Here is a 15,353-nt window from a genome sequence, read left to right as displayed (position 1 = left end):
TTGCCTTTGTGCTCAGGGGTAAGTCCTAGAGCTGGGATGGGTTCCTGAGTATTTCATAACAAGCCAGCTGCCCCTTCAAGAGGCATTCCCATAAACAACAGTTCTTATGCAAATTCATTTCAGAGAAGGTGTAGCAAATCTTTTGAGTCAGGATTGAGATAGTCTTTTGATTTTGTAAGTACTTTAAGACTTGGCTGAGTGCAAACAGCTCACACGTTTGAGGAGACCAATTATTAGGCAATTTTTGTAACTCTGCTTCCACAAGTCTCCGCATGAATTACTGAATACCAATTGTGGTTTTTTTCCTCAATCACCATCTATCGTCCTGTCCTGAAGGCAGTTCCTCCTAGGTCTGGTTGGACCTTTGTATGGTAATTAAGATTTAAATCACCTGTTAGGAAATCTGCTGGGTTAAGGGAATTATCAGTGGTTGGAGTTACATTGCCTTTTTCTAACATAGTAGCCCCATACTTTAAGATTTTTGAGTTAGTAAGCTACCTTTTTGCTTTTTTGACTTAGAATAATTCTGAACTCGTGAGGTGTACTCACAATGAGGTTTCCTCTAAAAGTACTTTTCCACTTTTAGCAAAGCAGTTGCTGCTACCGACTGAATGCATTTGGCCCATCCGCGGGTAACTGGTTAAGGATTTTTGATAGGAAGGCTATGGGTTGTCAGTGGCCTCAGTGCTTTTGGGCTACGCCCTGATTTACACTGACAACAAAGTGGCATTGGAGTGTTATAGGGTCATGGAGAAGACCTTCAATTATCAATTATAGGTTTTAAATTTACCCTGGCTTTTAAAGGAATAGGGCACACTGTTTTTTTTACTATTTTTATCTTTTACTCTTTCACTCCCTCTTTACCTCTCTGTCTGTCTCTCTCTCTGTCTCTCTCTCTCTCCATCTCTCTCTCTCTCTCTCTCTCTCTCTCCCTCTCCCTCCGCGTCTCTCTCTTAGCCATTACAAGCTTGGGGCCCTGGCAAGGGTGGTGGGGAACGGGTCCCCCATAACTGCCCATGTTGAGAGCTGTATACCTAAATCGGGAGGGACTCCAGGGATAAAACTCCCTGGGTTATAGCCTGGGTGCCTAAGGACACAGCGTAGCTTCCTTAGATCCCTTTGGAGATACAACTTGCTAGAGGAAATGAAAGTCTGAACCATTAGTACCTAGGAGGCAGGGATCAGAGGAAGTAGATTCAGAGGTAAGGATAATTTTGGGGCTACACTTTCAAGAAAGTCATGGTTGGGACCCAGGAGGTATGGGTCAGAAGGAAAGGTAGGGGCGCATGCATGGGCGACTGTTGAGTAGAGACTTCTGGCTGTACCATGATCTCATCCGGCTACTGCCAGGAGTTTGGGATGACAGCTTTCTGCCTGTAGTCAGCCCTTGGCTTCCCCAAGAAAATTGAAAGTGGCAGCTGGCTCCAGGCAGACCAATGTCCCCAACCCAGAAGGGTTGGGGGTTGTTAGAAAGCCCTTCCCCAGATAGGCTCACACCTGAGTCTTAAGTCTGGTGGCCACACTAATCATTTTTAACTGGCTGACAGGTGCCTGGTATTTTCCTCCAATTCTAAGGAAGGATAGGACAGAATAGCAAGCAAAAGTGGTCTAATATTTCTCACCACATTGGATGTCCCTTTGTGGTCGCCAAAATGTTACCTGGGGGTCCTTGCTCCCAGAGCTCCCAAGATGGTGGTGAGCCACTTCCAAAATGGTGGCAAGCCTTGTGTTTTCTGACCTGGGGTTCTTGGCCTCATGGATTCCAAGGAATGGAATCTTGGGCCATGCGGTGAGTGTTATAGCTCTATTAGAAGCTGTGGGTCATGGAAGAGAACCGTGGAACCCAGTGACTAGTGTTCAGCTCGATTAGGATGAACCCAGGCACTTAGCCATGCAGGAACAATGGCAAGCCTTTAGCCCAATTGGAAGTGGCAATGGGCGCCTCGCTGGATCAGGAGCACAGCAGACACCCTGCTGGATCCTCTGGATGGATGGAAGTCAGCGGCGGGTCTGCGACGGTGGCAAACAGCAGTGGTGGACGGCAAGCAAAAGCTCAGCTCGAGACGTAACAAACATGGACTAGAAGAGTGCAGTTGCAAGATTTAATAGAGTGAAATAGAGTGAAAACAGAGCTCCCATACAAAGGGAGGGGACCCAAAGGGGGTTGCCATTGCTGGCTCGAATGCTTGGGTTTATATCCCGATCATTGTCCCTCCCACCATGCTCTCAGGCAACAGATGATTGGCTATTTCTTTACCTCCTGTTTTTGCCTAATTAGAATTTTAGTGAGTTCTCCTTACTATCTGGTTGGGTGTGAGCTAAGTTGCAAGCCCCGTGTTTAAAGGTGGAAGTGGTCACCTTCCCAGCTAGGCTTAGGGATTCTTAGTCAGCCTAGGAAATCCAGCTAGTCCTGTCTCTCATTATTGAACTTGGTATTTAAATCTCAACACAACTGAGTTTCAACTTAGGCTATATTGAGTTTCAACTTAGGCTCAATAGACATTCTGAGGCTATAGACATTCTGAGGCTCACTGCTTGAGACAGCAGATGTGTGAAGTTTGACTAGTGAAGTATGTTGCTTATGTAGATCTAGTGGTCCAGAAGTGAGACAGTGGCTCTGGGGAGATGGGTGTGTGTGTGTTTCAGGTGGCATTCCTATACAGGAACCAAGAAAATCACATTTTTCATAGCGGTGAATCTCCAGAGGGAGAAAATAATGAGATTATGAAAAGCCTTCCTCGACAATGTCTTTCTAGTGTCTTGCCTCCTCAAATTTTTTCAGAGTCTGCCAAAGAGAGTGTGATTTTGAAATGGGTTTCCCAAGGCTGAAATTGAAAGTGGGTTAAGGATGGGTAGTTTGTGGTGTCTTTGGAAGGATTTATTTAGCAAAACTCTGAGACCTTATTCTTAGTGAATTAATTTAACATGTTTGAAGCCCTGGTGTCCAGACAAGGGAGATGAAGTTAAGTATTTTTATTCAATGGAGAAAATGTATTTCTAAGGAACAGCATATAATTCCACAGAACCAAGCGGTCCTTTAAAAAAAAGATATGTAGGTTGTCAATTTGGTTCCTTTCTATTTTACACTATTAATTAAATAATGTGGGTTTCAATGAGGATTATTTTTAGCAGTTTTTAACAACAACAACGACACAACCCCAAAGCCCAAAAAACAAACAACAGAGATTTAAACAAGGTGAAAGTTTCTTTCTTTTTTCCTCATGAATAAGCCCTGAGATAGGCTGCCCAAGGCTGGTGTAGGGCTTCCATGCTTGGGTGCAGGCTTCTTTCTTGTTCTGCCTTGTCTTGAAGAGGTTCTTTGCACTCCAGCCATCACATTCAAATTGCAGGACCAGGAAGGAGCACAGAGATGCATTTCTCCTTTTCTCTTGTTAAAGATGTTTAGGAAGACTTTTAAAGACTCAGAAAGTGCCATTTAATACTTCACATTTACATTTCATTGGCCACACCTGAGTCATATAGCCATCCTTACTTGCAAGGGAATCTGAGAAATATGTCCAGCTAAAAATTGGGGTTTAGTTTCAAAGTCAGAATATAGGCCAAATTTTGCTTTGAAACATAGATAATGAGGAGGTAAACTTAACCTCAAGTTATCATAAATGGCAAAACCAGGAGAATATTTTAGATAAGCAATCAGATATTGTCCTTCCTCACCTTTACACACTCAAGCCATGAATACTACATAATTTTGGCATTTGGTCTAAACTGTTAGTTTAATTAATTAATTAAAATCTGTGAGTATCTACCATGAGCCAGGCAGTATGTTAGGTGTTACAGACAGATAGCTGAATAGGGAGTAGCCTGTGCCCTCAAGCAGCTCACAGTCCAATAGGGGAGACAGACACACAAAATACATTTAGAAATTACAATACCATATAGTCACAAAACAATTTACTCAACAAGGAAAAATTTACATATTGACTTTCTAGGGTCCTATTTGCACTTTTATTTTATTATTTTTTAAAATACTTTAAGTTCTGGGATACATGTGCAGAACTTGCAGGTTTGTTACATAGGTATATATGTGCCATGGTGGTTTGCTGTACTCATCAACCCTTCATCTAGGTTTTAAGCCCCACATGCATTATGTAGTTCTCCTAATGCTATCCCTCCCCTTGCCTCCCAACCCCCAGCAGGCTGCAGTGTGTGATGTTCCCCTCCTTGTGTCCATGTCTTCTCATTGTTCAACTCCCACTGAGTGAGAACATGTGGTGTTTGGTTTTCTGTTCCTGTGTTAGTTTGCTGATAATGATGGTTTCCAGCTTCATCCATGTCCCCAAAAAGGACCTGAACTCATTATTTTTTATGGCTGCATAGTATTCCATGGTGTATGTATGCCACAGTTTCTTTGGTCTATCATTTATGGGCACTTGGGTTGGTTCCAAGTCTTTGTTATTATAAATAGTGCTGCAATAAACATACCTGTGCATGTCTCTTTATAGCAGAATGATTTATAATCCATTGGGTATATACCCAGTTATGGGATTGCTGGGTCAAATGGTATTTCTGGTTCTAGATCCTTGAGGAATTGCCACACCGTCTTCCACAATGGTTGAAATAATTTACACTCCCACCAACAGTGTAAAAACTTTCCTATTTCTCCACATCCTCTCCAGCATCTGTTGTTTCCTGACTTTTTAATGATCGCCATTCTAATTGGCATGAGATGGTATCTCATTGTGGTTTTGATTTGCATTTCTCTAATGACCAGTGATGATGATATTTTTTTCCTATGTCTGTTGGCCGCATAAATTTCTTCTTTTGAGGAGTGTCTGTTCATATCCTTTGCCCACTTTTTGAAGGGTTTTTTTTTTTTTCATAAATTTGTTTAAGTTTCTTGTAGATTCTGGATATTGGACCTTTGTCAGGTGGATAGATTGCAAAAATTTTCTCCCATTCTGTAGGTTGCCTGTTCATTCTGATGATAGTTTCTTTTGCTGTGCAGAAGCTGTGTTAGTTTAGTTAGATCCCATTTGTCAATTTTGGCTTTTGTTGCCATTGCTTTTGGTGTTTCAGCTATGAAGTGTTTGCCCCTGCCTATGTCCTGAATGGTATTGCCTAGGTTTTCTTCTAAGGCTTTTATGGTTTTAGGTCTTATGTTGAAATATTTAATCCATCTTGAGTTAATTTTTGTATAAGGTGTAAGGAAAGGGTCTAGTTTCAGTTTTCTGCATATGGCTAGCCAGTTTTCCCAACACTACTTATTAAATAGGGAATCCTTTGCCCATTGCTTGTTTTTGTCAGGTTTGTCAAAGATCAGATGGTTGTAGATGTGAGGTGTTATTTCTGAGGCCTCTGTTCTGTTCCATTGGTCTATATATCTGTTTTGGTACCAGCACCATGCTGTTTTGTTTACTGTAGCCTTGTAGTATAGTTTGAAGTCAGGTAGCATGATGCCTCCAGCTTTGTTCTTTATGCTTAGAATTGTCTTGGCTATATGGGCTCTTTTTTGGTTCTATAGGAAATTTAAAGTAGCTTTTTCTAATTCTGTGAAGAAAGTCTATGGTAGCTTGATGGGAATAGCATTGAATTTATCAATTACTTTGGGCAGTATGGACATTTTCACAATATTGATTCTTCCTATCCAGGAACATGGATTTTTTTTTTTCATTTGTTTATGTCCTCTCTTATTTCCTTGAGCAGTGGTTTGTAGTTCTTCTTGAAGAGGTCCTTCATGTCCCTTCTAAGTTGTATTCCTAGGTGTTTTATTCTCTTTGTAGCAATAGTGAATGGGAGTTAACTCATTCTTGGCTTTCTGTTTGCCTATTATTGGTGTATAGGAATGCTTGTGATTTTTGCCCATTCATTTTGTATACTGAGACTTTGCTGATTATGCTTATCGGCTTAAGGAGTTTTTGGGGTGAGACGATGTGGTTTTCTAAATGTACAATCATGTCATCTGCAAACACAGACAATTTGACTTCCTCTCTGCCTATTTGAATACCCTTTATTTCTTTCTCTTTCTCTGCCTGATTGTCCTGGCCAGAACTTCCAATACTATGTTGAATAGCAGTGGAGAGAGAGGGAATCCTTGTCTTGTGCCAGTTTTCAAAGAGAATGCTTCCAGCTTTTGCTCATTCAGTATGATATTGGCTATGGGTTTGTCATAAATAGCTCTTATTATTTTGAGATATGTTCCATCAATACGTAGCTTATTGAGTGTTTTTAGCATGAAGGGGTGTTGAATTTTATTGAAGGCCTTTTATACATCTATTGGGATAATCATGTGGTTTTTGTCATTGGTTCTGTTTATGTGATAGATTACATTTATTGATTTGTGTGTGTTGAACCAGCCTTGCATCCCAGGGATGAAGCCGACTTGATCGTGGTGGATAAGCTTTTTGATGTGCTGCTGGATTTGGTTTGCCAGTATTTTATTGAGGATTTTTGCATCAATGTTCATCAGGGATATTGGCCTGAAATTTTCTTTTTTTGTTGTGTCTGTGCCAGGCTTTGGTATCAGGATGATGCTGGCCTCATAAAATGAGTTAGGGAGGAGTCCCTCTTTTTCTATTGATTGGAATAGTTTCAGAAGGAATGGTACCAGCTCCTCTTTGTATCTCTGGCAGAATTCAGCTGTGAATCCATCTTGTCCTGAGGCTTTTTTGTTTGGTAGGCTATTACTTACTGCCTCAATTTCAGAACTTGTTATTGGTCTATTCAGGGATTCAACCTCTTCCTGGTTTAGACTTGGGAGGGTGTATGTATCCAGGAATTTATGAATTTCTTCTGGATTTTCTAGTTTGTGTAGAGTTGTTTACAGTATTCTCTGATGGTAATTTGTATTTCTGTGGGATCAATGGAGATATCCCCTTTACAATTTTTTATTGTGTCTGTTTGATTCTTCTTTCTTTTATTCTTTATTAGTCTGGCTACTGGTCTACCTATTTCGTTAATCTTTAAAAAAACCAGTTCCTGGATTTATTGATTTTTTGAAGGGTTGTTTTTTTTTGTCTCTATCTCCTTCAGTTCTGCTCTGATCTTTGTTATTCCTTGTCTTCTGCTAGCTTTTGAATTTGTTTGCTCTTGCCTCTCTAGTTCTTTTAATTGTGAATTTAGGGTATCGATTTTAAATCTTTCCCACTTTCTGATGTGGGCATTTAGTGCTACAAATTTCCCTCTAAACACTGCTTTAGCTGTGTCCTGAGATTGTGGTACATTGTGTCTTTGTTGTCATTGGTTTAAAGAACTTATTTATTTCTGCCTTAATTTCATTATTTACCCAGTAGTCATTCAGGAGCAGGCTGTTCAGTTTCCATATAGTTTTGCAGTTTTGAGTGAGTTTCTTAATTCTGAGTTCTAATTTGATTGCACTGTGGACTGAGAGACTGTTTGTTATGACTTCTGTTCTTTTGCATTTGCTGAGGAGTGTTTTACTTCCAATTATGTGGTCCATTTTAGAATAAGTGCCATGTGGTGCTGAGAAGAATGTATATTCTGTTGATTTGGGGTGTAGAGTTCTGTAGATGTCTGTTAGGTCTGCTTGGTCCAGAGCTGAGTTCATATCCTGAATATCCATGTTAATTTTCTGTCTTGTTGATCTGTCTAATATTGACAGTGGGGTGTTAAAATCTCTCACTATTCTTATGTAGGAGTCTCAGTCTCTTCGTAGGTCTCTAAGAACTTGTATTATGAATCTGGGTGTTCCTGTATTGGGTGCGTATATATTTAGGATAGTTAGCTCTTCTTGTTGAATTGATCCCTTTACCATTATGTAATGCCCTTCTGTGTCTTTTTTGATCTTTGTTGGTTTAAAGTCTGTTTTATCAGAGACTACCATTGCAACCCCTGCTTTTTTTTTTTTTTTTTTTTTGCTTTCCATTTGCTTTGTAAACATTTCTCCATCCCTTTATTTTGAGCCTATGTGTATCTTTGCATGTGAGATGGGTCTCCTGAATATAGCACATCAGTGGGTCTTGACTCTTTATTGAATTTGCCAGTCCGTGTCTTTTAATTGTGGCTTTTAGCCCATTTACATTTAAGGTTAATATTGTTATTTGTGAATTTGATCCTGTCATCATGATGCTAGCAGGCTATTTTGCTCATTAGTTGATACAGTTTCTTCATGTGTTGTTGATCTTTATATTTTGGTATGTTTTTACACTGGCTGGTACTGGTTTTACCTTTCCATATTTAGTGCTTCCTTCAAGAGCTCTTGTAAGTCATTCATGGCGGTGACAAAATCCCTCAGCATTTGCTTGTTTGTAAAGGATTTTATTTCTCCTTTGCTTATGAATTTCTCCTTTGCTTATGAAGCTTAGTTTGGCTATATATGAAATTCTGGGTTGAAAATTCTTTTCCTTAACAAAGTTGAATATTGGCCCCCACTCTCTTCTGGCTTGTAGGTTTTCTGCAGAGAGATCTGCTGTTAGTTTGATGGGCTTCCCTTTGTAGGTAACCTGACCTTTCTCTCTGGCTGCCCTTAACATTTTTTCCTTCATTTCAACCTTGGTGAATCTGGCGATTATGTGTCTTGGGGTTGCTTTTCTTCAGGAGTAACTAGTGGTGTTCCCTGTATTTCCTGAATTTGAATGTTGGCCTATCTTGCTAGGTTGGGGAAGCTCTCCTGGGTAATATCCCGAAGTGCGATTTCCAACTTGGTTCCATTCTCCCCATCACTTTCAGGTACACCAATCAAACATAGATTTGTTCTTTTCACATAATCCCATATTTCTTAGAGGATTTGTTCATTCCTTTTCATTCTTTTTTTCTCTAATATTGTCTTCACACTTTATTTCATTAAGTTGATCTTCAATCTCTGATATCCTTTCTTTTGCTTGATTGATTCAGCTATTGATATTTGTGTATGCTTTATGAAGTTCTTGTGCTGTGTTTTCAACTCTATCAGGTCATTTATGTTCTTCTCTAAACTGCTTATTCTTGTTAGCAGTTCCTGTAACCTTTGATGAAGGTTCTTAGCTTCCTTGCATTGGGTTAGAACATACTCCTTTAGCTCAGAGGAGTTTGTTATTACCCACCTTCTGAAGCCTACTTCTGTCAACTTGTCAAACTCATTCTCTGTCCAGTTTTGTACCCTTGCTGGCAAAGAGTTGTGATCCTTTGGAGGAGAAAAGGCAGTCTGGTTTTTGGAATTTTCAGCATTTTTGTGCTGGTTTTTCCTCATCTTTGTGGATATATCTACCTTTTGTTTTTGTTGCTGATGACCTTTGGATGGGGTTTTTGTATGGGCACCCTTTTTGTTGATGTTGATGTTATTGCTTTCTGTTAGTTTTCCTTCTAACAGGGCCCTCTGCTGCAGGTCTGCTGGAGCTTGCTGGAGGTCCACTTCAGACCCTGTTTGCATGGTTATCACCAACAGAGGCTGCAGAACAGCAGCAGTTTCTGCCTGTTCCTTCCTTTGGAAGCTTCGTCCCAGAGGGGCACCTGCCAGATGCCAGCTGGAGTTCTTCTGTATGAGGTGTCTGTCTAACCGTGCTGGGAAGTGTCTCCCAGTCAGGAGGCAAGGGGGTCAGGGACCCACTTGAGCAGGCAGCCTGTCCCTTAGTGGAGCTCGAGCACTGTGCCTGGAGATCCACTGCTCTCTTCAGAGCCCACAGGCAGGAATGTTTAAGCGTGCTGAAGCTCTGCCCACATCCACCGCTTCCCCCAGGTACTTTGTCTCAGGGAGAAGGGAGTTTTATCTATAAGCCCCTGACTGGGGTTGCTGCCTTTCTTTCAGAGATACCCTGCCCAGTAAGGAGGAATCTAGAGAGGAAGTCTGGCCACAGCTGCTGAACTTCCTGGCAGCTTTGTTTACACTGTGAGGGGAAAACAGCCTACACAAGCCTCAGTAATGGCAGACACCCCTCACCCAACCAAGCTTCAGACTGCTGTGCTAGCAGTGAGAATTTCAAGCCAGTGGATCTTAGCTTGCTGGGTTCCATGGGGGTGGTACCCACTGAGCAAGATCACTTGACTCCCTGGCTTTAGCCCCCTTTCCAGGGGAGTGAACGGTTCTGTCTTCCTGAGGTTCCAGGTGCCACTGGGGTGTGAAAGAAAAAACCTGCAGCTGGCTCAGTGTCTGCCCAAACAGCTGCTCAGTTTTGTTCTTGAAACACTCCAGGGCCCTGGTGGTGTATGCACACGAGGGAATCTCCTGGTCTTCGGGTTGCAAAAACCATGGGAAAAGCGTAGTATCTGGGCTAGATAACATAGTCCCTTATGGCTTCCCTGGCTAGGGGAGGGAGGTCCCCAGCCCCTTGAAGTTCCCGAGTGAGGTGACGCCCCAGCCTGCTTCTGCTCACCCTCTGTGGGCTTCACCCACTGTCTAACCAGTCCCAATGAGATGACCCAGGTACCTCAGTTGGAAATGCAGAAATCACCTGCCTTCTGCATTGGTCTCGCTGGGAGCTGCTACCAGAACTCTTTCTATTTGACCATCTATACTTTTATTTTATATAATAGTGATCTAGCTAAAGCAAGATCAATACTTGCCAAGAACTATCATTCTATAAGACTGTAAGCTCCTTGAAGGTAGAGACCAGTTTGCTAACTGCTATGCCTGGCACACAGCAACAGTCAATGAATACTGACTGAGGTGTAAAATGAAAGAAAGTATGTGAGCAAAAGGGGGAGCCTGGGTAGCATTTGTGAAATGCGTAATTGATAGAACATGGAAACTTGATATTTGAAAATAGGTATTTGTAAAAGATATAAAGCATAGAATGATTATTTACCTTGAACACATGGTCTTCATTTTAGACTATGATTTGTCAAACAACCTTGCATACTTTAACTGTGATTTGTGTAGTGAACATTTGCTGGTTGCCCCTGCCTGCTTTCTATGCCTCAGTTGCCAAGTTATTCTCAGTGGCTCCTATTTGGGGACCCATGTTGTTCCAGAGAAGCCAATTTTGCCTACTGCATTCGAAGAGTGTTTTGATCTAGGCTAAGCCATTCAGCATAGTTGCCCTCTAGCCATGGTGATTACTTTAGGAATGGGCATCATTATCATCATCATCATGATCACTTTCATAGCACTTTCTAATTAGTAAGTGCTAGGTGCTATTCTAAGCACTACATTAGCCCATTTGGTCCTCACAACAACCCTTCAGGGTAGGTGCTATTATAATCCCCTTTTTGCTGCTCTAAGGCATAGAGCTGGTAAATAGTGAGCTGGGATGGATCCTAACTCAGGCAGTCTGGCTCTGGAATCTGTGCTCCTAATGACTTCACCAAACTGCTTGTGACTGAAGCTGGTCTATCAGCATGAACTCTGGGCTTCAGACTAAGAAAGTTAGGATGGGTGGCTCCCTTAGTTCTGTGTGGTGTGGAGAGCAGATGTGAGCCCTGGAACTGCTCCAGCATCTGATTGCTTCAGGGGAAGCTAGGCTGAGTTCAAGGAGTTCGTGGAGGTGGCAGAGGTGAAAGGACACAGAAAATAGGAATCAGTACAGGGATGATACTGTGAATTTTGTAGTCAGTGAGGCAATAAACTCTCTTTATTTTAAATGTTGGCTTGAGCCTGGTTTCCAAAAGCATCCTGACATAATTTGATTCCAAAAAACTATAACTTTTTCCTGTATATATGAACTACATGAAAATATTTGTGCTTGTATACTTCACTTGCCTTTACCCATGATGAATGTGGTGTAAGTATGGAGACATTAGTAATATTAAACAAGTTATTTTAGCAAAAATGAGTAGTATAAACATATTACTTTACACTATACTTTAGTTCTCAAGATGACATTATTTTACATTTTAAAATTTCTAAAATTGGGGCACATCCTATAATTGGTATCCTCATTTAATTGGCAGTTGTTTTTTCTTTCTTAGTGTGGTAAATAAAGTAACAGTTACTAATGTAATTGATAGCATCTTAGAGCCAATGAACTATAGCAATTTAGTTATGATTGGATATATTTCCCCTCTTAAGTATTGCTTTATCCTATCTACAGCGTGGACTAAGCATATTCACATACACACTTCTATATGTATGATATATATATATACAACAAAGCTTCAGTTAATATCATACTTTCCTAGAGTTTTGGTGGGCTTATGTTATGAGTAGTCATGATTTACAAATGAGAAAATTTAATAAAGAAAGACTTAAGGACAGAAGTCCCACGTTCAAACCCAAATCTGCCAAGAACTAGAGGCTTTATTTTTTTGTATCTCAATAATTTCATTTGTAATATAATTAAAGGGTGAGATTAGGTGATCATTAAAGTTAACTCCAGATTTTACATGCTATGGGTCCTACGGAATTGTATTACCATGGTTTTATAATATCACCACCAACAACTGCAGTCATGATATCAATAAAGTATGCTCTAAAGTTAGATTTAATGAATGATTAGGGATCACTCTTTATTTTGGGCAACTCAACCAAGCCTTCTAAAACAGAGGTCCCCAACCCCTGTTAGGAACCAGGCCACACAGTAGGAGGTGAGTGGCGGTTGAGCAAGCAAAGCTGCATCTGTATTTATAGCCACTCCTCATTGCTCACATTACTGCCTGAGCTCTACCTCCTGTAAGATCAGCAGTGGCATTAGATTCTAATCCGAGTGCGAATTCTTTTGTGAACTGCACATTCAAGGGGTCGAGCTTGTGTGCTCCTTATGAGAATCTAATGCCTGATGATCTGAGGTGGAGCTGAGGTGGTGATGCTAGCATGGGGGAGCAATTGCAAATACAGATTAACATTAGCAGAGAGGTTTCACTGTGCAGAGACCATAATAAATCAATTGCTTGCAGACTCATATCAAAACCCTATCAGTGAGTGGCAAGGGACAATTAAGCTGCATCTGGTGGCAGGCTTTAAATCAGAATCCAACACTTATTTCAGTCTTTGCATGGTCCACTCATTATTTTATTTACCACTTCCACCCATGCCTTTTTCCTGTACTGTGCACTTGTCTCAGTCACAGTTTTGCTAAACCCACAAGCTAACCCTAGCCAAAATGAGTGAAAAACAGATGTCACTGGAGAGCTTCTTTGAAAAGGGGGAAAGATCCAATGATAAGACAGCAGAAGACTCTAAGACTGCAAACAAAAAGAAAGCTGCATTTAAAAGAAAATACCAAAAGTCCTACTTTTTACAGGTTGATTGCAACAGGTGATTTACATTCTGTAAGCCCGCTTTGTATATGTGGTGACCAGCTATTCAATGGAGCCATGAAATCTTCAAAACTGCTTCACCATGTGGAGACCAAACACCCTGCACTAAAAGACAAGCCTTTGGAGTTTTTCAAATTAAAAAAACATGAACAGGAAGAACAAAAGCAATTATTGATGGCCACCACTTCATCAAATGTGTCTGCACCGAGAGCATCATTCTTAGTGGCTAACCACATCACTAACACTAAGAGGCCCTTTACTATTGGTGAAGAGTTGATCCTGCCCACCATTAAGGATGTTAGTCATGAACTTTTAGGAGATGCTGCAGTTCAAAAGGTGGCATATGTTCCTCTTTTGGCTAGCCCCATAACTAGATGAATGAAATAGTTGAGGATATTGAGGCACAATTGTTAGAGAAGATTAATGAGTCACTGTGGCATGCAATCCAGGTTGACGAGTCTACGAATGTTGACAACAAGGCAACAATGCTTGTTTTTGTGCGATATATTTCTCGGGAGGACGTGCATGAGAATATGTTATGTGCACTTTTGTTGCCAACCAGCACCACAGGTACAGAACTATTCAAGCCTTTGAATGATTACTGTGTTAGTTCGTTTTCATGCTGCTGATAAAGACACACCCAAGACTGGGCAATTTACAAAAGAAAAGATTTAATGGGCTTACAGTTCCACATGGCTGGGGAGGCCTCACAATCATGGTGGAACGTGAAAGTCATGTCTTACATGGTGGCAGACAAGAGAAGAGCTTGTGCAGAGAAACTCCTGTTTTTAAAACCATCAGATCTTGTGAGACCCACTCACTATCACGAGAACAGCATGGGAAAGACCTGCCCCCATGATTCAGTCATCTCCCACTGGGTGCCTCCCACAATATGCAGGAATTATGGGGGCTACAAGATGAAATTTAGGTGGGGACACAGAGCCAAACCATATGAATTACATATCAGGAAAACAGAATTGGTCATTTTGTATTGGTATGTGCATGGACAGAGAGGCTGCCATGACTGGATGCCTTTCTGGTTTCACTACTTGGGTCAAAGAGGTTGCTTCTGAATGTGAATCTACACACTGTGTCATCCACAGAGAAATGCTGGCTAGCCAAAAAAAAATGTCACCTGAACTTAAGGTTTTGCAGGATGTGGTTAAAATTATCAACAACATTAAATTACATGCCCTTAATTCATGTCTTTTTGCATAGCTCTATGAGGAAATGGATACAGACCACACATGTCTTCTCTCATACACAGAAGTGAGATGGCTTTCTCAAGGTAGATCACTGGCCAGAGATTTTTGAGTTACAAAAACCACTCCAAAGATTTCTTTTAGAAAAGCACTTACCACTCCAGCACATTTCAGCAACACAGAATGGGTCACAAAACTTGCTCACTTGTGTGACATATTCAACCTGCTCAATGAACTCAGTCTGTCACTTCAGGGGAGAATGACAACTGTGTTCAAGTCGGCAGATAAAGTGGCTGCATTCAAAGCCAAACTGGAATTATGGGGGTGATGAATGAACACTGGGATTTCTGACATGCTTCAAACATTAGCAGACATTTTGAAAGAGACCAAGCCAGGGCCTTCTTTCTCCCAGCTGGTGCATGGTCACCTACCTCAGCTTTCAAAAGAGTTTGTGCATTACTTCCCAACCACAAAAGACCCCCAAACTGGGAAGGAATGGATCCATCACCCATTTGTGAATAAGCCAAGGGAATTGACTTTGTCCCTGCTTGAAGAGGATCAGCTGCTTGAGATTGCAAATGACGGTTGCCTTAAAAGTATGTTTGAGGCAACTTCACATCTCCATACATTCTGGATTAAAGTCAAGGCGGAATATCCTGAGATTACCACAGAAGCACTGAAAAGCTTCCTTCCATTTCCAACATCCTATCTTTGTGAAGCAGGGTTTTCTGCAGTGACAGCAACCAAAACGAGATTATGGGGTAGAGTGGACATAAGCAACACACTTCAGGTGTCACTGTCTTCCATCACCCCAGATGGGACCATCCAGCTGCAGGAAAACAAGCTCAGGGCTTCCACTGATTCTACATTATGATGAGCTATAACAATGTCATAATAGAAACGCAGTGCACAATAAATATAATGCACTTCAATCATCCCCAAACCACCTCCCACCCCCAAGTCTGTGGAAAAATTTTCTTCCATGAAACCCATCCCTGGTGCCAAAAAGCTCAGGGATCACTGTTCTAAAGGAATGGATTAGTACAACTCTTTTTATCAGTATCA

This window comes from Homo sapiens, chromosome 5, assembly GCF_000001405.40.
Source record: "Homo sapiens chromosome 5, GRCh38.p14 Primary Assembly".
Lineage (NCBI taxonomy): Eukaryota > Metazoa > Chordata > Mammalia > Primates > Hominidae > Homo > Homo sapiens.
Note: the sequence above shows the minus strand (reverse complement) of the source record.